Source organism: Homo sapiens, chromosome Y (assembly GCF_000001405.40).
Source record: "Homo sapiens chromosome Y, GRCh38.p14 Primary Assembly".
NCBI classification, from domain to species: domain Eukaryota; kingdom Metazoa; phylum Chordata; class Mammalia; order Primates; family Hominidae; genus Homo; species Homo sapiens.
The window spans coordinates 21,154,532-21,180,224 of record NC_000024.10 but is presented as its reverse complement, the minus strand read 5'-3'; the positions used below and the strand labels follow the sequence as shown (position 1 = coordinate 21,180,224).

At 39.4% G+C, this 25,693-nt stretch overlaps 1 long non-coding RNA gene across 7 annotated transcripts in view; it reads right to left on the bottom strand.

Annotated features, from left to right (window-relative positions):
• Positions 1-7,250: 7,250 nt before the first annotated feature.
• Positions 7,251-25,693, bottom strand: part of LOC105377225 (uncharacterized) — a 34,342-nt gene continuing 15,899 nt past the window's right edge. For 6 of the 7 annotated variants that reach the window (XR_938635.3, XR_938636.3, XR_938637.4 and 3 more), the window contains one exon: positions 10,006-10,269. This is a non-coding gene — a long non-coding RNA (uncharacterized LOC105377225). Of the gene's footprint in view, positions 10,270-25,693 lie in introns of all 7 variants that reach the window. The other variant, XR_007068465.1, reaches the window with a different exon arrangement.

The window sequence follows — 25,693 nt, the reverse complement described above, 5'->3', positions numbered from 1 at the left end:
AGACTTGCTCATCTGTCCTGTCTATACTGACCCTTGCCTCCTGGCTCCTAAAGCCTGTCAGACAAACTTCCTCTTGCCTCTCTTCTCTGAGGCTCATCCCACTTCTAAAAACCACTCCTGTCTCTGGTTCTTTTCTACTTTCTCGTATAAGAATGATTTCTAGTATAAACTCCAGGACTCTATTCCCTTATTTAGGCACCCCAGCTTACCAATCAGAAAGGCATAATTTTTGCCCAAAGCCCTGCCAGGAAGGGACCTATCTGGAATTTTAGTATTCCTCCTCAGACAAGCAGGCCTAACAAAAGCTATTCCTGAAGCTAGGATATGGGGAGCTTCAGAAATGATATCCTTCCTATTCAAGCGAGGACAAAAGACATCACTCTTCCAACCCTGGAGATCCCTTTCCTCCCTCAGGGTATGGCCCTCCACTATATTTTTGGGGCACAGCATCTTTATAAGATAACAATAAAGTCCCAATACTAACAGGAGAATGCTTAGCACTCTAACAGGTTTTTGAGAATGCATTGGTAAGGGCCACTAAATCCAATTTTTCTTGGTCCTCTTTTGTGGTCTAGGAGGACAGGCAAGGGGGCATGTTTTTGAGAATGCATTGATAAGGGCCACTAAATCTTACCTTCCTCAGTCCTCTTGTGGTCTAGGAGGAAAACTATGGTTTCTGCTGCTGCATTGGTGAGTGCAACTATTCCAATCAGCAGGGTCCAGGGACCATTGCATGTTACTGAGCAACAGGTGTTTATACTGCTACATTGGTGAGTGCAACTCTTCTGATCAGCAGGTCTAGGGACCATTGAGGGTTCCTGGGCTTTGATGGAGGTGTTGAAACAAATAAACCAAAACTGTGGGTGGTTTTGTTTTTCAGATGGGAAACACTCAAGCAGGAACAGGTTCACCCTTGAAATGCATCCTAAGCCACTGGGACCAATTTGACCTGAAAAATCTGGAAAAGAGGCAGCTCATTTTTTTCTGCACTATGGCTTGGCCCCAGTATTCTCTCTGATGGGGAAAAATGGCCACCTGTGGGAAGTATAAATTACAACACTGTCCTGCAGCCTGAATCTTTTTTGTAAGAGAGAAGGCAAATGGAGTAAAATACCATATGTTCAAGCTTTCTTTTCATTGAAGGAGAATCTACAACTATGCAAAGCTTGCAATTTACACCCCACAGGAGGACCTCTCAGCTTACCTCCATATCCTAGCCTCCCTATAGCTCCCCTTCCTATTAATGATAATCTCCCTCTAATAGCTCCCCTTCCTATTAATGATAATCCCCCTCTAATCTCCCCTTCCCAGAAGGAAACAAGAAAAGAAATCTCCAAAGGACCACAAAAACCCCCAGGCTATCAGTTATGTCCCCTTCAAGCTGTAAGGAGAGAGGAACTTGGCCCAACCTGGTTACATGTCCCCTTCTCCCTCTCTGATTTAAGGCAGAAAAAGGCAGACCTGGGAATGTTTTCAGATGATTCTCATAGGTACATAGATATCCTATAGGATCTAGGCCAAACCTTTGACCTCACTAAAAGAGTTGTCATGCTATTGTTAGATCAAACACTGGCCTTTAATTAAAAGAATGCAGCTTTAGCTGCAGTCCAAGAGTTTGGAGATATCTGGTATCTTTGTCAAATAAATGATAGAATGACAGCCAAAGAAAGGGACAAATTCCCTACTGGTCAGCAAGCCATCCCAGTATGAATCACCACTGAGACCTTGACTCAGATCATAGGGACTGGAGTTGTAAACATCTGCTGACATGTGTTCTAGAAAGACTAAGGAGAATGAGGAAAAACCCCATGAATTATTCAATGATGTCCACCATAATTCAGGGAAAGGAAGAAAATCCTTCTGTCTTCCTTGTGTGGCTATGGAGGCCTTAAGAAAATATACTGCCCTGTCACCCGACTCACTCAATTGTCAATTGATGCTAAAAGATGAGTTTATTACCCAATCAGCTGCAGATATGAGAAGAAAGCTCCAAAAGTGACCCCTGGGCCCTCAACAAAATCTGGAGGCATTATTAAACCTGGCAACCTTGGTGTTTTATAATAGGGACCAAGAGGAAAAGGCCAAAAAGGAAAAGCAAGTTTACAGAAAGTCCGCAGCCTTAGTCATGGCCCTCAGACAAACTTTGGTGGTTCAGAGAGGACAGAAAATGGAGCAGGCCAATCACCTGGTAGTGCTTGTTACCAGTGTGGTTTGCAAGGACACCTTAAAAAAGGTTTCCAACAAGAAACAAGCAGCCCCCTCAGCCATGTCCACTATGCCAAGGCAATCACTGGAAGGTGCACTGCCCTAGAGGACAAAGGTTCTCTGGGCCAGGAGCCCCCAACCAGATGATCCAACAACAGGACTGAGGGTGCCTGGAGCAAGCACCAGCTCATTTCATCACTTTCACTGAGCCCTGGGGAATTTTAACCATTGAGAGCCAGGAAATTGACTTCCTCATGGACACTGGTGCAGCTTTCTCAGTATTAATTTCCTGTCCCGGACAGCTGTCCTCAAGGTCTGTTACTATCTGAGGAATCCTGGGATGGCCTGTAACAAGGTATTTCTTCCCCCTCCTCAGTTGTAATTGGGAGACTTTGCTAGAGATAGTAAGTATGCTTATCTAATCTTACATGCCCATGCTGCAATATGGAAAGAAAGGGAGTTCCTAACCTCTGGGGGAACCCCCACTAAATATCAAAAGGAAACCATGGAGTTATTGCACACAGGGCAAAAACCCAAGGAGGTGGCAGTCTTACACTGCCAAAGCCATCAAAAGGGGAAGGAGAGGGGAGAACAGCAGCATAAGTGTCTGGCAGCAACAGAGAAAAACCAGCAGAAAGGAAAGAGAGAAAGAGAAAAGAGAGAGAGACAGACAGAGGAAGAGACAGAGAAAAAGGAGGAGTCAAAGACAGAGACAGAGAGAGGAAGATAAATAAAGACAGAAAGAGAGAGAGAAAGAAAGAGAGAGACAAAGAGAGAGAGGAAGAGAACAAAGAGGGAGTCAGAAAGAGACAAAGAAGGAATCAAAGACAGAAAAAGAGAGAGATAGAAGTAATAAAGAAAACAACAGTGTACACTATTCCTTTAAAAGCCAGGGTATATTTAAAACCTATAATTCATAATTGAAGGTCTTCTTAGTGACCCTATAATAGTCCAACACCACCTTGTTGTCTGTGTAAACAAGGGCGTAGCCCAAAAGCACTGAGGCCACTGACAACCCATAGCCTTCCTATCAAAAATCCTTAACCCAGCAGGTTTCTTAACAGGGGATCTAAATCTTAATTAATTACCATACAAAGGTCTGACTAGACCTAGGAAGAACTCCCTTTAGGACAAGATGATAGGTAGTTTCTCCTGAGTGATTAAGGAAAAAAGACACAATGGGTATTCAGTAAACTATAAGGAAACTCTTGTAGAAGTAGAGTTAGGAAAATTGCCTAACAATTGGTCTGCTCAAACATACAAGTTGTTTGTACTCAGCCAAACCTTAAAGTACTTACAGAATCAGGAAGGAGCCATCTATACAAATTCTAAGTTAATATGGACTGAACGAGTCATATTAATAGCAAATAAAAATTAAAATCCCAAACTTACAAGATGTTCAACAAAAGTAAAGTTTGCTATAAGTTACCAGTGTAACATGTATTATCCTAACTTTTAATCTCATGGAATCTGATCCTATCAGTGCCCCTCAAAGCTCAAGTCCATCAGTGCAGGGCCATACAACTAATACCCCTACTTATAGGGTTAGAAATGGCCACTGCTACAGGAACTGGAATAGCTGGTATATCTACTTCATTGTCCTACAACCACACACTCTCAAAGGATTTCTCAGAGAGTTTACAAGAAATAACAGAATCTCTCCTTAATCTACAATCCCAAATAGACTCTTTGGCAGCAGTGACTCTCCAAAACTCCTGCCCAGACCTCCTCACTGCTGAGAAAGGAGGACTCTGTACCTTCTTAGGGGAAGAGTGTTGTTTTTACACTAACCAGTCAGGGATAGTATGAGATGCCACCTGACATTTAAAGGAAATGTCTTCTGAAATCAGACAACACCTTTCAAACTCTTATACCAACCTCTGGAGCTGGGTGACATGGCTTCTCCCCTTTCTATGTAACCATGACAGCCATCTTGCTATTACTTGCCTTTGGATGCTGTATTTTTAACCTTGTTGTCACATTTATTTCCTCTAGGATCGAGGACATCAAGATATGATGATCTTACAAATGGAACTCCAAATGAGCTCAAGTAACAACTTCTACCAAGGACCCTTGGACCTACTCACTGGCCCTTTGATTGGACTAAAGAGTTCCCCTCTGGACGACACTACAACTGCAGGGCCCCTTCTTGCCCCTATCCTATCTAGAGTGGTCACCACCCAATTCCCAACAGCAGCTGGGGTTTCCTGTTTAGACAGGGCATTGAGAAGTGAAGTCAGCTGGACTTCCTGGGTCAAGTGGGGACTTGGAGAATTTTCTGTCCAGTTAGAGGATTGTAAACACAGCAATCAGCACTCTATAAAAATGCACCAATCAGCACTTTGTGTTTAGCTAAAGGAGAGCAAACTCAGCATTCAGCCCTCTGTTAAATAGACCAATCAGTAGGACATCGGCAGGGAAAAATAATGGAATAAAAGCTGGCCACCCCAGCCAGCAGCAGCAACCCACTTTGCCCCCTTTCACGCTGTGGAAGCTTTGTTCTTTCACTCTTCACAATACATCTTGCTGCTGCTCACTCTTTGAGTCTGCATTACCTTTATGAGCTGTAACATTCACTGCGACGGTCTGCGGCTTCATTCCTGAGGTCAGCAAGACAATGAACACACCAGGAGGAACAAAAATTCCAGACATGCCAACTTTAGCAGCTGTTAACACTCACCATGAGGGTCTGCAACTTCATTCCTGAAGTCATTGAGACCACAAACCCACTAGAAGGAACAAACTCTGGATAGGCCACATTTAAGAGCTGTAACACTCACCACGAGGTCCGTGGCTTTATTCTTGAAGTCAGTGAGATCAAGAACCCACAAGAAGGAATAAATTCCAGACACACTGGGGCCTGCTGCCTTTGCACCTGTTGTTGTTTAAGACTTCTCACTTGTTCCCACAGTTCTACATTTAGCATTCCTTCTTCTGGGAACCATGGGCTTGGGATCACAACAGTTTGCATTATGTCCCTTAATGAGTCTGCAAAACTGATGTTATGGTAGCCTTAAGCAACTATTTCAACACTTTTATATATTGTTTCTGTTGAGCTGGTAACTGTGTCCCATGATGAAATCTCAGCTTGACTCAACTTCCCCAAGAACTTGGTAACCTTGAGTGAGCAACAATGACTTACTGATTAATTACTCACTTGCTTGACCACATGGTTCCTTTTTTCACCTTTGTTTTTAAGGGATCTATTGCATTTACTTCATGCTTCCTTCACAGCTTTCCTCATGAGAACAGTCCCCACACTTCTTTTGCAGCTTGCCACAAGTGCAAGTGGGGCTCCAAGTGTGGGGGTTTGTTTTTGCAGACCCCTGACACAGGTCCTCACGCAGGTCCCCATTTGAGGCAGTGCTCCTTTTGCAGAGACACTAGATGCAGGGAGTCTGTTCCTGCAGACCTCTGATTTGGCAACAGAAGAATAAACGTACACTGACACACAGATATTCTGCTCTGCCAGTCTAGCTGAAGGCCCAAGCCACTTACAGGCTCCAAGCTGCGTTCTGTAAACGGTTGTGACTCGGCCCTGATCTGCAGGTAAAGGTCACATTTATTCAGTAAGGCGAATTAACAAAAATTGTGAGTAAACACCGCTAGAAGATAAAGATTAAAAGCTAGGTTCTGAGGCCTAAAGCAAACACCATTTGTGGGTAATAAACTTCTGCCGACCCCCTGAGTTGGAGGCAGTAAAGTACTTGAGGTAGGACAAAGGTTAGTCATAAGCCCATATAACTAAACAGGTTAGTAAAATAAGCTTTCCACATTCATTGGTACTGCACCCTAATCTTTCTGGCTCTTGCAAAGAGACCCTGGCTGCCTTCAGCTGAGCATTCTGAAGGTATGCAAACTCTCAGGCCTTTGAAGACAGTTTTTGACTATTACTATAACTATCTTTAATATTTTCCCTATCAACCTAATTGAACCCCATCAATGAAAAAGCATTTGGGAAAATTTAACATTGCTTCATGATAAAAACTGTCAAGAGTTATGTTTAAAAAATTCATCTGAACACAGTGAAAATTATATATGACAAATTTACAGCTAACATCATACTGAATGGGAAAAAGTTGCAAGCTTTTGCTAAGGTCTGAAAGAAGTCAAGAGAGGGCATTTTCATTACATCTATTCAACATAATACTAGAAGTCTGAGCCACAGCAGTTATGTAAATGAGAGAAAATACTAGGGATATCTGGATAGAAGGGAAGAAGCTACACATCCCTTGTATGCAGATAACTTCATCTTACATAGAAAACCATAAATAATCCATTTAAAAAACTATTAGAACTAATAAACAAATTCAGTAAATATGTAGAGTACAAAATTCACATGAAAAATAGGCAGGCAGATCATGAATTCAGAAGTTTCAGCCCAGCCTGGTGAAACCCCATCTCTACTAAAAATACAAAAATTATGTGGGTGTGGTGGCACACACCTGTAATCCCAGCTACTCAGGAGGCTGAGGTAGGAGAATCGTTTGATCTGGGAAGCAGAGGTTGCCGTGAGCCAAGGTTGCATCACTGCACTCCAGCCTGGGTGACAGAGTAAGACTCCATCTCCAAAACAAAAGGAAAAAAAAGAAAAAAACTTAGTATCCAGAACAAATAAGAAACAATAGCCAAAAATTTTCTAATTAAAAATGTTCAAAAGATGTAAATAGACATTTCTCCAAAAATGACACAGATACTTCCAACACATTTCTAAATAAAAGTTCAACATAATTTTTATTGGAGAAATGCCAGGAAAACCCATAAGAAAATATGACAAGTCCTTTCAGCTCAGTGAATCTATTAGAATAATAATGGATATAACTAAAAATTGCAAAAGAATAACAAGTATTGCCAGGGATGTGGAGAAAAGAAAAGTGGGGAACTGCACAAAACATCCTCTTGGATGGAATGTAAATTAGTAGAATCAGTATGGAAGACATTCTGTAGATCTCTAAAAAATTTACATGAAAGTTTCCACATGACTGAACAATCTGCACCACTGAGTATGTAGGCAAGGGAAAGAAAATTAGCATGTCAAATAAATATTTGCTCTTTTTTGTTTATTACAGCACTATTCACCATGAACAATACAATATTAAACCTGGATGTTCATAAACAGACAAATGAATTTAAAATGTGGTATATGTACACACACACACAATGAAATAGTATATATCTATTAAAAATGAACTTTTATCATTTGCCATGCCACATACCATGTATATTCCTTTACATGTAACTAAGCAAAATAACCTAGGTGTAGGAATAAAAATAACACATTATCTGACCTATATGTGGAATCTAAAAAATTTTCTCATAGAATTATAGGGAAGAATAGTGGTTATGGGGGTCTAGAAAGAATTAGAAATGTAGGGATAGGAAGAAGTTGGTAAATAAATACAAAAAAAGTAGTTAAATTGAAAAAAAAGAAGCAATGGTATTCCATTGCACAGCAGGGTCACTATTTTTAATAACAATGCATTATATATTTCTAAATAGAAGAGAGAATTCCTAGGGTTCTAATCACGAGGAACATTAGAGGAGATGAATAAATACCATTATTTGGTATATTGTATGCATGTTTTAAAATAACATGGTCTGCCATATAGTTGTGCATGTATAATATGTGAATGGAAAATATAATGAAACTTAAAATGTAAAATGTAACAAAATCAGAGAAATAGATGGAGAGACAAGTAAAAAATGCAAACAAACACAGACGCTGATGAATGAAGTGCACCACAGACACAGAGACCAATAAGGCTAACAGAAAATGGCACAAACTCACCCTGAGATACACAAACAAATTGGGGGTCCCGAGCAGCCTAACTGGGGGGCACCCCCCCAGTAGGGGCAGACTGACACCTCACATGGCCAGGTACTCCTCTGAGACAAAACTTCCAGAGGAGCCATCAGACAGCAGCATTCGTGGTTCATGAAAATCTGCTGTTCTGCAGCCACCGCTGCTGATACCCAGGCAAACGGGATCTGGAGTGGTCCTCTAGAAAACTCCAACAGACCTGCAGCTGAGGGTCCTGTCTGTTAGAAGGAAAACTAACAAACAGAAAGGACATCCACACCAAAAACCCATCTGTACATCACCATCATCAAAGACCAAAAGTAGTTAAACCCACGAAGATGGGGAAAAAACACAGCAGAAAAACTGGAAACTCTAAAAAGCAGAGCGCCTCTCCTCCTCCAAAGGAACGCAATTCTTCACCAGCAATGGAACAAAGCTGGATGGAGAATGATTTTGACGAGTTGAGAGAAGAAGGCTTCAGACGATCAAACTACTTCGAGCTACAGGAGGAAATTCAAATCAAAGGCAAAGAAGTTGAAAACTTTGAAAAAAATTTAGACGAATGTATAACTAGAATAACCAATACAGAGAAGTGCTTAAAAGAGCTGATGGAGCTGAAAGCCAAGGCTTGAGAACTACGTGAAGAATGAGGAAGCCTCAGGAGCTGATGCAATCAACTGGAAGAAAGGGTATCAGTGATGGAAGATGAAATGAATGAAATGAAGCAAGAAGGGAAGTTTAGAGAAAAAAGAATACAAAGAAACGAACAAAGCCTCCAAGAAATATGGGACTATGTGAAAAGACCAAATCTACGTCTCATTGGTGTACCTGAAAGTGATGCGGAGAATGGAACCAAGTTGGAAAACACTCTGCAGGAGAACTTCGCCAATCTAGCAAGGTAGGCCAACATTCAGATTCAGGAAATACAGAGAATGCCATGAAGATACTCCTGAAGAAGAGCAACTCCAAGACACATAATTGTCAGATTCACCAAAGTTGACATGATGGAAAAAATGTTAAGGGCAGCCAGAGAGAAAGGTCAGGTTACCCACAAAGGGAAGCCCATCAGACTAACAGCTGATGTCTTGGCAGAAACTCTGCAAGCCAGAAGAGAGTGGGGGCCAATATTCAACATTCTTAAAGAAAAGAATTTTCAATCCAGAATTTCATATCCAGCCAAACTAAGCTTCTTAAGTGAAGGAGAAATAAAATACTTTACAGACAAGCAAATGCTGAGAGATTACTGCTCTAAAAGAGCTCCTGAAGGAAGCACTAAACATGGAAAGGAAAAACCGGTATCAGCCACTGCAAAACCATGCCAAATTGTAAAGACCTTCAAAGCTAGGAAGAAACTGCATCAACTAACGAGCAAAATAACCAGCTAACATCATAATGACAGGATCAAATTCACACATAATAATATTAACTTTAAATGTAAATGGACTAACACTGTTGGTGGGACTGTAAACTAGTTCAACCATTGTCGAAGTCAGTTTGGTGATTTCTCAGGGATCTAGAACTAGAAATACCATTTGACCCAGCCATCCCATTACTGGGTATATACCCAAAGGACTATAAATCATGCTGCTATAAAGACATATGCACACGTACATTTATTGCGGCACTATTCACAATAGCAAAGACTTGGAACCAACCCAAATGCCCAACAATGATAGACTGGATTAAGAAAATGGGGCACATACACACCATGGGATATTATGCAGCCATAAAAAATGATGAGTTCATGTCCTTTGTAGGGACATGGATGAAATTGGAAATCATCATTCTCAGTAAACTATCACAAGGACAAAAAACCAAACACCACATATTCTCACTCATAGGTGTGAATTGAACAATGAGAACACATGGACACAGGAAGGGGAACATCACACTCTGGGGGCTGTTGTGGGGTAGGGGTAGGGGGGAGGGATAGCATTAGGAGATATACCTAATGCTAAATGATGAGTTAATGGCTGTAGCACACCAGCATGGCACATGTATACATATGTAACTAACCTGCACATTGTGCTCATGTACCCTAAAACTTAAATTATAATAAAATAAAAGAAAGTGGGGGTCATGCTGTCTCCTCCTTCTAGAGGAGAATGTCCTGAGGCCCAGTAAACTGGCACATGAGCCTCCACCAGCTGTGCTTCTTATCTGTATTCATCACTTTTCCTCTCCATCAATTTGTTCTTCCTGCTAGTGCTTCCTTTTCTCAGGTGGTGTTGCAAGAGACTGAGTTGCATGTCATCACTCTTAAGCTGCCAGATAAAATGCACAGTTAAGATTAACATTCATCCCTCAAGAACTTTAACAATTGAAACAACTGGAAAATCCACCAAAATCATGTCAACTGATGCCCACAAGGCATCCCCTCAGTAGTTGTCTTGTTGTATCCTGTTACAGTATGGTCATAGCACTGCTTGAAGAAGTTGAGAAAAGTAGTGATGTTTCTGTAGGTCAGGCCTCTGTTTACATTCCAGCCATTTTGGATTTACATACTATGATACAATATATATCTTGGAGAAAAACAAGGGTGCAGCAAAGGTGCTGGAGTATGTTGGTCTAAGTCTTAACCACACCACATTCTCCCCAGTGTTACTTGTTATCAGTGAAGACAATTTCTAGCGTCCATTACAGAACTCCTAAGAGTAAACTTAGGTGTATTATTTAGCTCTTCTCATCAATTCTGCCCTCTACACTTTACAACCTCTGGTAACTGATATTCTATTCTCTACTTCTGTAAGATAAACTTTTCTCAAATTTACATATGCTTGAGCTAAGGGATATAAGTCTTTCTGTACCTGACTTATTTTACTTTGCAAAATGTTCTCAACATTTATCTATGTTGTCATAAATAACAAAAATGTGTTGATTGGCACTTAGATTGATTTAATATCTTCATTATAGTAAATATTGCTGCAATAAACATGGGAGTAAAGATATTTTTCCAACACACTGATTTTTTTTCCTTTTTTTTTTTCTTTTCATATGGAGTCTCACTGTGTTGTGCAGGACGGAATGCAGTGGCATGATCTTGGCTCACTGTGATATCTCCTCCCAGTTTCAGCCTATTCTCCCACCTCAGCCTTTGTTTGTTTTTGCCAATAAGTCATTTTTTCTCATATATTTTGGCTATTAATCCCTATTAAATAAATCGTGAAATTTTTTTACCCTATTGTAGGTCCTTTTCTCTGTTGTAAGCTTTCACTGTTGTGGTTGTAATTGTTTTCTTGTGCAGAAGCTTATAAAATTTATGTGTCATGTAATACTCTATGTATCTATGGACATAAAGTGATATATATATAGAATGAATAATGATCAAATCAGACCATTAGAATGTCATTCATCTCAAGTATTTATAATTTATATTTGTTGTGAACATTTAAAATTATCTCTTCTGCATTTTTGAAAATATACATGAAATTATTATATCTATTCTGCACTGCTATAGAACACCAAAACTTTTTTCTACTCCCATCTAGTTGTAAGCTGGTACCTATTGCCCACTCTTTCCTGATTTACCCATTCTCTGAACACCCCAGTGTCAAACCAATACAATTATCCTCTCTACCTATATGAAATAATTTTGGTATTCAAAAGCATATGTGATTTGTATGTTTTATATTTTTTCACTTGATTCATTTTACTTTACCTAAGGTACTACAGTCTTACTCTCATTGCCACATATTGTACTATTTTACTGTTTTTATGGGTGCATAGTATTCCATTTTCACCTCTCTTTCTCTTTCTCTTCCTCTTTCTCTCCCTCTCTCCCTCTCACGTGTGTGTGTGTATGTGTGTGTGTATACATACATACATACATTTAGATTAGCAGTATATGTCAACTATATGAGTACAGCTGCAATAAACATGAAATTGCAGGTGTCTCCAATATACTGCTTTTTTCTCTCTGAATAATGGAATTTCTGGATCATATAATAGGTTTCATGTTTGTCCACTTTGTGAGAAACTTCACACTATTCTCCATAATGGCTATATTAATTTTCATTTTCAGTATCAATGTATGAGTGTCTTTTTCTGACCTTTTTTCATTATTGTTTATTAAAGGAACTGCTGTTTACCCATTGTGTATTTGTTGCCTATCTGTATGCTTTTATGTTGATATAATTCTTTTACTGTTATTGTTTACTATTTCTTTGTAGATATTTTCTTATCACATGGTATGACATTCCTAGCATTATTTTTTGTTTCATCTTGCTTTCACTCTGGTGTCTTTCATTGGTTCCCTACTAATTTTAGATTATTTTTGTGAATCATGCCATTGGTATTATATTTTCCTTTTGATTACACTAAATATAAATATTATTTAGGTGGCATTGTCATTTTAACAGAAGTAATTCCTCCAGTGTATGACCCTGTGGTCTGTCCATTTTTAGCTATTTTTAATATATTTATCAGTGTTTTGTCATTTTTATTGTAGAGATCTTTTACCTTCTTAGTAAAATAAGAAGGTATTTTATTTCTTATAGCAGTTATAAATAGGATTCTCTTCTTTACTTCTATTTATTTAATTAATTAATGGCTATAGACATGTTGCTAATTTCTATTGATCTTGAAACTCTACTAAATTTGTTTATTATTTCTAAGCAGGTTTCAAGGAGATGCTAGGTTCTTTTAGTATGAGGAGTATATCAATGACAGAGGGACAGTTTGACATTTTTATTCGTATTTGGATGGTCTTCATTACTTTCTCTTGCCTAATTTTCTGGAGAGTAATTCATTATTATATTTAATAAGAGTGGTAAAAGTTCACACTCTTTACCTAGTTCCAGTTGCAGAAGAAAGGCTTTCAGCTTTTAGCCATTCAATGTGATGATAGCCCTGTGTTAGCCTTATATGGTCTTTATTGTGTTGAGTGTATTTATTTTATAGTTAGCCATTAAAAGTTTTTTAATCTTTTAAAATTATGTATGAATGTTGTTTTGCGGCCCAATATATGGTGTATTATTTTTAATGTCTTATGTACTTGTAAAAAATATACATGTTCTAGAGCTATTGAGTAAAATATTTGATCTCTAGTGCAGCTTAATTACATTTTATCTTTGACAATATTTTGTTGATATAAGTATGTGTTATGCTGAATGAAGGGTGCTAAAGTCCACTTGATTGTGTTGCTGTAGAGAGGAATTATATGCTGAGTTTTGCCCTAGAGACCAAAGCTGCTGTTGTATTAAGGCACTATTTAGAAAATAGAACCAATAAAGGACTAAATTTTTCCCTGGGGTTTAACATTTCTGACATCTTGCTGACATCCTTCAACACACACCCAGAGGTCTGAGTGTCATGGCAATATCTGTACTCATTGATATGGCCAAGTCACTGGACTATAAGCCTGCCAAGGCCCATTACCTTGAGAAGTGGGTAGTCCAGCTAATTAGATAGGCTGTGCTCTAGATTCAGAAAAGCAAAGTGTGCACCCTCCTGAGCCCAAGAGCAATCTTCCTGGTTTACAGCCACCACAACCACATTTCTCTCACTCAGCAGTAGGATCACAACACAACCTCCTGCCTCACTTTCTTTCTCAGAGAACAATTGTGTGTCCTGCTATGTTTACTGCCATGCTTAGGATCCAAGGACAGTGAGCAGGAAACCACCCAGGTCAGCCATCATATATATCACCAGCACCAGTGTAACACAATAGACAACCTAAAGACTGACCCACCCAGATTACTGTGGACATTACTGGACCCTCTGCACAAAACTCATGAGTCCTCAAAGTGCCACTTGGTTTTCCATCATTATATCAGTGCCCATTTGTGTTACTTGTTGGCTGCTACACCAGCCTACTCCAGGACCCAATCCCCCACAGGGATGCTCAAGAATCAACCACTGGTGACTGAATGCCAAATCCATTGACCCAAGAAGCATACTACCTACTTCCTAGGGCCCATAAATTCCATCCAAGCTCCCAAGAATTGGTCTACACAAGGTATTAATACCATCACCCATTAAGCCACCTGGGTATATGAGGATCAGTTATCTCTGCTTACCAATATCACTGCCAGACTCACACATGGCACCTCACACTGAAGGATTGGCCTACTGGTTCCCTAACAACACTATTACTACCTTCCACACACGTCCACTCAATTGATGCCCCTGTTCCAGCAATATCTTGGCCCAGCCTCCTCAAACAAAACAAAACAAAACAAAACAAAACAAAACAAAACAGTCTAAGCCATAAAAATAAAATTAGTACAAACAAAGTTAATGCTAATTACAGCTAAGTTAATTATATGGACTATGATTGCCACCCGTAACCAAAACCAAAGAACTGTACCTAATAAAAATTATAAAAATATCTACAGAAGAAATATTTTCCTTTGAAAGATTCTCTATATTGTTGACAGAAGGAAAAGCTGCAACAGTTGTGTAAACATCAATGTAAGAACCCATGACCCATGGGGAAAAAATAGAAAAAGAAAACCTGCACACCTTTAGGGGAACACAATAGTCCTTAAGTAAACAGACTTAAAAAAGAAGAGATCTGCCAGGCATGGTTGCTCACACCTGTAATCCCAGCACTTTCAGAGGCTGCGACGGGCCGATCACCTGAGGTAGGGAATTTTAGACCAGCCAGACCAACATGGAGAAACCCCATCTCTACTAAAAACACAAAATTAGCTGGGCATGGTGGCACATGCCTGTAATCCCAGGTACTCAGATGGCAGAGGAAGAAGAATTGTCTGAACCCAGGAGATGAATGTTGCAGTGAGCTGAGATCATGCCACCGCATTCCTGCCTGTGTGACAGAACTACACTCCACCTCACAAAAAAAAAAAGAGATCTTACTCAATGCAAAACAAGGAATTAAAGATCTAAAGAGAAAAATAAATAAAATGTATAATGGCTAAACTAGAAATAAATAAAACATAATCTGAATGAGTAATTCGAACAGAGAGATATTATTGAAAAAGAACTGTTAGAAATGATAAATTTCTTTTCAAAAGGTTTAATTGTGTATTTTTTTCCTTTGTTTAGAAGCCCAACCTCCTTGTACTCTCTTGTTTCCAGCCAGCAAACTACACTGCTGCTTTAGTTGCACCCTGACATTTCCAGACATAACTTATACTAAAGTTATATACATAACTTTGGGACATGCCTTATACTACAATGGACAAACCACTTCTACCCCCTCCTTTTACAAATTGCACGTTTACCCTATTTAGAAAAGATTAAGTCTTAGCCTACCAGGTTAGTTTAGATTGTGTTGTTCAACGCTAGACAATAACAGAAGGACAGAGGGACAGGAACTTGGAAAGGATAAAAGTCCCTTCTTTCCTTTGTTTGAGGTTCTCTTGCAATTGTGACCAAGGCAGACAGGACTCTTCTGCAGAAGTAAATTGACTTGCTGAGAAAACTTTTTGCCTGACTGCTGGTTCTTCTTTGCAGCATCAAGCACTTGTTTCTAACAATCTTGGGGCTCATCTGGGATTCCCATTCTCCTCCATGGAAGGGTCTCTGATCCCCTCTCATGAAGAGGCATGTCCCATGGCCTTATGGCGGTGGCCTCAAGGGTAGGGAATTGGAACCTACCAAACGTCATGCATAAACTGAGACTCTCAGCAATATGGGAAGAAAATGCCTTCAAATACCATGCAACCGAGTAACATTGTATACAGACCTAGGTAAGAAAAACAATGGGGATGGTAAGGTATTTCTTGGTGGTCAGAACATCTTGGGGCTTGAAAGTGTGTGAGTGAGATGCACAATTGAGCTCCAAGTGAGTGTGGTCCTGATCTTTGGTTCTGTGATCACCTCAATGGCTTATGGCGGATTCCTATTGTGGGGTTTATAATGATATGCTAATGCTAAGAGGGGTTTAAACTACACCTGGGTAAGTGGCCAGAGACAGATGAAGTAAAAGTAAAAGAGTGCAAGGAACCTCCAGCAGGTGAACTTGAGCCTGCAGAGCAGAGAGTGTGAGAAACCTCTAGCAGTCTGGGTTGAGCCTCTAGAGCTGAGGGTGCAAGAAGTCTCTAGCAAGAGAGGTTAAGGCCCACACACTTGGGACACTCAAGGAAACACTAAAAACTTCCAGGATGGAAATAGCTCAAGCAAGTTAGGGGATAAAAAGGAAAAGATAGACAATAAAATCCCCTCAGATAGCGTTCTTGGTCTCATATTAAAATATTGGAAGGATAATGAGAGAACCGAATATAAGAAAAAGCAACAAATGATAAAATATTGTTTTATTTGGACCAAAGTACCTATCCTCAAACCCTCAGTTTTCTGTGCAAAATTTGGATCTAGTGAGGACTGGATTTGCTAACTTTTTATAGAGTATGACAATGACAAATGTTCTGTCTCCCAGGAGGAAATAGACTGTGCTCTGTGTTGGTGGGAGGGGTCTGTTTTTCTCTATCCCCTAAAAACTACAGGAGACAAGCAGGGAATTACTTCCCCTCAGGAAATTAAAATCCCTAATCCCAAACCACGCACTAGCACGTGCAACCCTTTAGACTACCTTCCTCCATCTGCACCTGCTCTCACCACCACTGCCTCTAACCTCCATACCCTGCAAGTAAATGCAGCTGCCCGTAGTTCTGCCCCTTCCCTTACTCACAGTGTTCCTCCCCCTTATAACCCTGACTCTTGGAGTCATCCCTAGACTGAATGCCCTCCCTTAGGAGTGCTTCAGTGTGAGATAGAACAACATTAGAAGAATATTTAATACTTCCGGTTGCCCACTACCTCCAGAGTATCAGCCACAAACCTTTTTTCCCTTAAGATAAGTGTCTCTAGGTGGGGTGGGGGGCGGGGGCGGGTGGGAGGCGGGGATTGGCTTTTTTAACACCCTATTAGCCAGTTCAGAAGTCCAATGCCTAAAAAGTGAATAATAGTCTCTATGGAATGGCAGACCAAATTGATCAATTCTTAGGACCACAGTTGTATAGTTGGACCAAGTTAATGTCAATCTTTGGCATCCTCTTTTTTGGAGAGGAAAGAAGCATGATCCATAGGGCCACTATGACCATTTGGGAGCATGAGCACACCCCAGGTCAAAACGTTCCTGCAGCTGAACAAAAAGTTTCTGCCGAGATCCCCAGTTGGGTCACAAAAATATAGCCTATTGAGGGAATATGAGGGATATCCAAAAAATGATAATTAAAGGAATAAGAGAATCAGTGCCCTGCACCAAGGATGTTACCAAAGCCTTTAATATACAACAGGGAAAGGATGAAAGGTCTATGGAATTTTGAGAGAGACATAAAGAGCAGATGGAAAAACATGCTGGCCTAAATTAGTAGACCACCTTGGGCAGGGAATGTTAAAGCTCCACTTTTTCACCAATAGTTGGCCAGATATTACCAGGAAATTACAAAAGATAGAAAATTGGAAGACCACCAGCCCATAGAGAAATTTTTAAGGGAGGGCCAAAAGGTATATGTATGGAGAGACAAAGAAAAGTAAAAACAAAAGGCAAAAATTATGCTATCTACCTTACGTCAGGGAACTCCTCCACAGACAGCCCAGGAGAATAGAACTTATAAGCCTTCCAGTACATGGCTGTCAGACCTAACACAGGAGTCAAAGAGAGCAAGCCAGAAAAACAGAAAATAAAGAGAGAAAAAGTACAAATAAATGCTTAAAATGTGGAAAATTAGGTCACTTTAAAAATAGAATGCCCTGAATGGGAAGACGAAAAGGAAGTCATCCCACTTACAGCTTTTGAGGAAGAATACGGGTTCAGGGGCTCTGTCTTTACTACCTTGAGTCCCACCAAGAGCCCTTGATAAATCTAGAGGTGGGACACAACTCTGAGCTTATTAACTTTTTAACTGACTCAGCTGCAGCTTGCTCCTCTGTTTGTCATTCTCCATCTAATATAATTTGTTCACAAGAAGAACTCCTTATTTCAGGAGTAAAGAGAGAAGGATTTAAAGCAACATTTTAGAGGAAACAGAAGTCACATATAAAAATAGATTGGATAATGTAAAATGTTTGCTAATACCAGAGGCAGGAACTAACCTAATAGGAAGAGATTTAATGCTACATTTAGGTTTAGGTCTCTATATTAACCAGGAAAAATTTTTTACCTCCCTAAACTTACTCACTACCATAGGTGAAGAGTATATTCACCCCAGTATCTGGTCAAAAGGAGGAAATTGAGGAAAATCATGAGTTCCCCCAATAAAGGTCAAATTAAAAACTTCTGGGGAAGAAGTAAAAAGAAAGCAGTACCCTCTTCCTTTGAAAGCTAGGATAGATTTAAAACCTATAATTGAAAGCCTTGCTGATGATAGACTTCTTGAACCCTGTGTATCTTCTTATAATACTCCAATATTAGCTGTAAAGAACCCAGATGGGTCATACCACCTAGTGCAAGACCTCCGGACTATTAATCAAACAGTTAAAACTACACATCCTGTTGTTCCCAATCTTACATCATTATCCCACCTGAGCTTGAATGGTTCAGATTATAGACCTGAAAAATGCCTTCTGGGTTTGCCATTTAGCAGAGGACAGCCAAGACTTGTTTGCCTTTGCATGGGAAACCCCCACTCATCTAAAGCAACAGCACCATTGGACAGTTTTACCCCAGGGGTTCACAAATTCTCCAAATCTTTTTGGTCAAATTTTAAAACAAGTCATAGAATAATTTTCCCTTCCCTCATGCATATGTCTACTCCAGTACATAGATGTCCTGCTTACTTCTGGGGAAAACAAAGAAAGAATGGGTAGCAGCTTTTTCAACAAACTTTCTTAATTTTCTAAGCGGAGAAAGGTTAAGACTCAAAAAGCAAACTTCCGTTTGTACAGCCCAAAGTAAAGTATTTATGAATTTTAATCAGCAAAGGCCAATGCAGGATTGGGTATGAACCAATTGAAGGTATTATATCCTAGCTCTCCCAGAAAGAAAACAGTAGTTTAGAAAGTTTTTAGGCTTAGCTGGACACTGTTGCCTATGGATCAATTCTTATACCCTAGAAACAAAACCACTATCCCAAAAACTCACCCAGAGGGAGCCAGAACACCTTATCTGGACCCAACCAGAAATGCAACAAATAGAAAAATTAAAACATTTACTAGTTACTGCCCCTGTTCTAACTCTACCCTCCCTGGAACAGCCATTTTATCTTTTCATCAGTGTAAACAAGGGAATGGCTTTAGAAGTAACCACCCAAAAACATGGGGACCACCAGCCCCCCCATAAGCTTTCTGTCAAAACTGCTAGACCCAGTAACTTGTGTCTAGTCTGAATGTGTCCAATCTGTAGCAACAACTGCCTTACTAACAGAAGAAAGCACAAAATTAATTTTTGGGGGAAATCTCACCAAGTTAGAACAATCCTCAACCAAACGGCAGAGAGGTGGCTTACTGACTCAAGAATTTTAAAACATTAAGCAATCGTGCCAGAAAGAGATGACCTAACACTGACCACTGAAAATTCTTTAAATCCTGCTGCTTTCCTAACAGGAAATCCAAACCCAGAGGTAACAGAGAATCCACACCCAAAAGAAAGAGATCATAAATGTTTAGATTTAATTAGTTACCAAACCTAAGTTAGACCGACCTATGTGAAACTTTTTTCCAAACAGGGAAACATCTTTTTGTAGATGATTCCTCCTGGGTAATTGAAGGAAAAAAGCATAACAGATACTCTGTAGTGGATGGACATACCCTCACAAAACTAGAACCTACAAAATGACTGGTCCACATAAATGCGTAGGCTATTTGCCTTAAATCAAGCCTTAAATTTGTTACAGAAACAGGAGGGAAGAACTTATACTGACTCCAAATATGTGTTTGGAGTAGGACATATCTTTGGAAAAAGTTGGCCTGAACATGGCCTTATTAATAGTAAAGGTCAAAATCTAATCCATAAATAGTTAATAATACAAGTATTAGGTAATCTTCAACTACCTGAGGAAACAGGTCTTGTTCATGTCCCAGGACATCAAAAGAGCCTCTACTTTGAAAGTCAGGGAAATAAGCTAGCTGACCAAATAGCCAAGCACTCTGTCTATTCCCAAACTACATCCGTTTTTTATTTAATCCTTTGTCTTTCTCCTCTAACTGTACTCCCTGCTTTTCTCATACAGTCCAGGAAAAACTAAAGAAATTAGGAACTATTTCATATCCAGCCAAACTAAGCTTCATAAGTGAAGGAGAAATAAAATCCTTTACAGACAAGCAAATGCTGAGAGATTTTGTCGCCACTAGGCCTGCCCTAAAAGAGCTCCTGAAGGAAGCACTAAACATGGAAAGGAACAACCGGTACCAGCCACTGCAAAATCATGCCAAAATGTAAAGGGCATTGAGGCTAGGAATAAACTGCATCAACTAATGAGCAAAATAACCAGCTAACATCATAATGACAGGATCAAATTCACACATAACAATATTAACTTTAAATGTAAATAGACTAAATGCTCCAATTAAAAGACACAGACTGGCAAATTGGATAAAGAGTCAAGACCCATCAGTGTGCTGTATTCAGGAAACCCATTTCATGTGCAGAGACACACATAGACTCAAAATAAAAGGATGGAGGAAGATCTACCAAGGAAACAGAAAACAAAAAAAGGTATAGGTTGCAATCCTAGTCTCTGATAAAATAGACTTTAAACCAACAAAGATCAAAAGAGACAAAGAAGGCCCTTACATAATGGTAAAGGGATCAATTCAACAAGAAGAGCTAACTATCCTAAATATATGTGCACCCAATACAGAAGGACCCAGATTCATAAAGCAAGTCCTGAGAGAGCTACTAAGAGACTTAGACTCCCACACAATAATAATGGGAGACTTTAACACTCTACTGTCAACATTAAACAAATCAATGAGACAGAAAGTTAACAAGGATACCCAGGAATTGAACTCAGCTCTGCACCAAGCGGACCTAATAGACATCTACAGAACTTTCCACCCAAAATCAACAGAATATACATTTTTTTCAGCACCACACCACACCTATTCAAAAATTGACCACATACTTGGAAGTAAAGCTCTCCTCAGTAAATGTAAAAGAACAGAAATTATAACAAACTATCTCTCGGACCACAGTGCAATCAAACTAGAGCTCAGGATTAAGAATCTCACTAAAAACTGCTCAACTACATGGAAACTGAACAACCTGCTCCTGAATGACTACTGGGTACATAATTAAATGAAGACAGAAATAAAGATGTTCTTTGAAACCAACGAGAACAAAGACACAACATACCAGAATCTCTGGGACACATTCAAAGCAGTGTGTAGAGGGAAATTTATAGCACTAAATGCCCACAGGAGAAAGCAGGAAAGATCCAAAATGACACCCTAACATCACAATTAAAATAACTAGAAAAGCAAGAGCAAACACATTCAAAAGCTAGCAGAAGGCAAGAAATAACTAAAATCAGAGCAGAACTGAAGGAAATAGAGACACAAAAAACCCTTCAAAAAATTAATGAATCCAGGAGCTGGTTTTTTGAAAGGATCAACAAAATTGATAGACTGCTAGCAAGACTGATAAAAAAGAAAAGAGGGAAGAATCAAATAGATGCAATAAAAAATGATAAAGGGGATATCACCACCGATCCCACAGAAATACAAACTACCATCAGAGAATACTACAAAACCTCTACACAAATAAACTAGAAAATCTAGAAGAAATGGGTAAATGCCTCAACACATACACCCTCCCAAGACTAAACCAGGAAGAATTTGAATCTCTGAATAGACAAATAACAGGCTCTGAAATTGTGGCAATAATCAACAGCTTACCAACGAAAAAGAGTCCAGGACCACATGGATTCCCAGCCGAATTCTACCAGAGGTACAAGGAGGAACTGGTACCATTCCTTCTGAAACTATTCCAATCAAAAAAAAAACCAGGGAATCCTTCCTAACTCATTTTATGAGGCCAGCATCATCCTGATACCAAAGCCAGGCAGAGACACAACCAAAAAAGAGAATTTTAGACCAATATCCTTGATGAACATTGATGCAAAAATCCTCAATAAAATACTGGTAAACCAAATCCAGCAGTGCATCAAAAAGCTTATCCACCATGATCAAGTGGGCTTCATCCCTGGGATGCAAGGCTAGTTCAATATATGCAAATCAATAAATGTAATCCAGCATATAAACAGAACCAAAGACAAAAGCCACATGATTATCTCAATAGATGCAGAAAAGGCCTTTGACAAAATTCAACAACCCTCCATGATAAAAACTCTCAATAAATTAGGTATTGATGGGACACATCTCAAAATAATGAGACAAACCCAGAGGCAATATTGTACTGAATGGGCAAAAACTGGAAGAATTCCCTTTGAAAACTGGCAGAAGACAGGGATGCCATCTCTCACCACTCCTATTCAACATAGTGTTGGAAGTTCTGGCAAGGGCAATTAGGCAGAAGAAGGAAATAAAGGATATTCAACTAGGAAAAGAGGAAGTCAAATTGTCCCTGTTTGCAGACAACATGATTGTATATCTAGAAAACCCCATTGTCTCAGCCCAAAATCTCCTTAAGCTGATAAGCAACTTCAGCAAAGTCTCAGGATACAAAATCAAAGTACAAAAATCACAAGCATTCTTATACACCAACAACAGACAAACAGAGAGCCAAATCATGAGTGAACTCCCATTCACAATTGCTTCAAAAAGAATAAAATACCTAGGAATCCAACTTACAAGGGACATGAAGGACCTCTTCCAGGAGAACTACAAACCACTGCTCAATGAAAGAAAAGAGGATAGAAAGAAATGGAAGAACATTCCATGCTCATGGGTAGGAAGAATCAATATCGTGAAAATGGCCATACTGCCCAAGGTAATTTACAGATTCAATGCCATCTGCATCAAGGTACCAATGACTTTCTTCACAGAATTGGAAAAAACTACTTAAGGTTCATATGTAACCAAAAAAGAGCTCACATCACCAAGTCAATCCTAAGCCAATAGAACAAAGCTGGAGACATCACACTACCTGATTTCAAACTATACTACAAGCCTACAGTAATGAAAACAGCATGGTTCTGGTACCAAAACAGAGATATAGATCAATGGAACAGAAGAGAGCCCTCAGAAATAATGCCGCATATCTACAACTATCTGATCTTTGACAAACCTGAGAAAAACAAGCAATGGGGAAAGGATTCCCTATTAAATAAATGGTGCTGGGAAAACTGGCTAGCCATATGTAGAAAGCTGAAACTGGATCCCTTCCTTACACCTTATACAAAAATTAATTCAAGATGGATTGAAGACTTAGATGTTAGACCTAAAATCATAAAAACCCTAAAAGAAAAACCTAGGCATTACCATTCAGGACAAAGGCATGGGCAAGGACTTCATGTCTAAAACACCAAAAGCAATGGCAACAAAAGCCAAAATTGACAAATGGGATCTAATTAAACTAAAGAGCTTCTGCACAGCAAAAGAAACTACCATAAGAGTGAACAGGCAACCTACAAAATGGGAGAAAATTTTTGCAACCTACTCATCTGACAAAGGGCTAATATCCATAATCTACAATGAACTCAAACAAATTTACAAGATAAAAACAAACAACCCCATCAAAAAGTGGGCAAAGAACATGAAAAGACACTTCTCAAAAGAAGATATTTATGCAGCCAAAAAACACATGAAAAAATTCTCATCATCACTGGCCATCAGAGAAGTGCAAATCAAAACCACAATGAGGTACCATCTCACACCAGTTAGAATGGCAATCATTAAAAAGTCAGGAAATAACAGGTGCTGGAGAGGATGTGGAGAATTAGGAACACTTTTACACTGTTGGTGGGAGTGTAAACTAGTTCAACCATTGTGGAAGTCAGTGTGGCAATTCCTCAGGGATCTAGAACTAGAAATACTATTTGACCCAGCCATCCCATTACTGGGTATATACCCAAAGGACTATAAATCATGCTGCTATAAAGACACATGCACACGTATGTTTATTGTGGCACTATTCACAATAGCAAAGACTTGGAACCAACACAAATGTCCAACAATGATAGAGTGGATTAAGAAAATGTGGCACATATACACCATGGAATACTATGCAGCCATAAAAAAGAATGAGTTCATGTCCTTTGCAGGGACATGGATGAAATTGGAAATCATCATTCTCAGTAAACTATCACAAGGACAAAAAACCAAACACCACATATTCTCACTCATAGGTGTGAATTGAACAATGAGAACACATGGACACAGGAAGGGGAACATCACACTCTGGGGACTGTTGTGGGGTGGAGGAGGAGGGAGGGATAGCATTAGGAGATATACCTAATGCTAAATGACGAGTTAATGGGCACAGCACACCAGCATGGCACATGTATACATATGTAACTATCCTGCACATTGTGCACTTGTACCTTAAAACTTAAAGTATAAGAATAAAAAGAAAAAAAAAAGAATAAAGTTGGACCATTACCTTACACGGTATACAAAAAAAAAAAAAAAAAAAAAAAAAAAAAAAAAAAAAGAAATTAGGAGCTAAGGAAAACCCAGAGAAAAGTATTACCAGATGGAAAGAAAATGTTACTGAAATCTCTTATGAGGTTAATATTGTTACAACTTTATCAAGGATCATAGGGTCCTCAAGCTATGTGTGATGCAGTTCTTAGTGTCTATGTGTGCATAGAAATATACACCCTCCGTAGACAAGTAGTGAATAGTTGCATAGTGTGCAGAAAAAGCAGTAAGCAGACCTTAAAAAGGCAACCTCCCAGGGGAAGAAATCTAGGGTTAAGGCCAATCCAAAGTGTCCAGGTTTACTATACTGAAATGCCCCCAGTGGGCCATCTCAAGTATTTGTTAGTAATATTGAACCATACCAACTGGATAGAAGCCATTCCCTTCCCAAGTGCAACAGCCAGTAATATAGCTAAGGCCCTGTTAGAACATATCATACCCAGGTTTGGACTAATAGAAAACACTGATTCAGACAATGGGACCCACTTCATTGAATACATCATTAAAGGGCTAACTGAAGTATGGGAATAAAATGGGAATATTACACTCCCTGCTATCCAACCTCATCAGGAAATGTAGAAAGAAAGAAACAAATCCTAAAAAAAAAGCTAAGCAAATTATTCTTGGAGTCCTGGTTACCATGGACAAAATGCCTCCCTATTGCCTTAGTAAGAATTCAAACTGCCCTTTGAAAGGATCTTGGCCTATAACCTTATGAAATGCTTTATGGACTAACTTATTTAAATTACACCACTGATCTCTCTACATTTGAAACCAAAGATCAGTTTCTTAAAAACTATGTATTTGGTCTGTATTCTACCATTTCCTCCCTCAGGAATCAAGGCCTCCTATTGCAAACTGCATGCTTTGAATTACCATTTCACCAACACCAACCCAGAGATCACATCCTTCTCAAAAGCTGGAAAAAGGGAAAGCTCAAACCCACTTGGGAAGACCTGATATACTGCTCCTAACAACTGAAATGGCACTCTGAACCATTGAGAAGGGATGCACCAATCACCTGAGTCAAAAAGTATCACTCCTTCCAGAGTCATGGATAGCTGTTCAAGGACCCACCCCAAGCAGGGTAATGTTGGAAAGGAAACTTTAATCTGCCTCTCCCACCTTTTCCTCTTCTTCCCAGCTACCTCACATCTTCTTATTAATATAACTAGGTCTACTTCCCCTCAAATCATTACCTTTGATGCTTGTTTGTTGTGCCTGTGCAGATCTCCGAAGCCA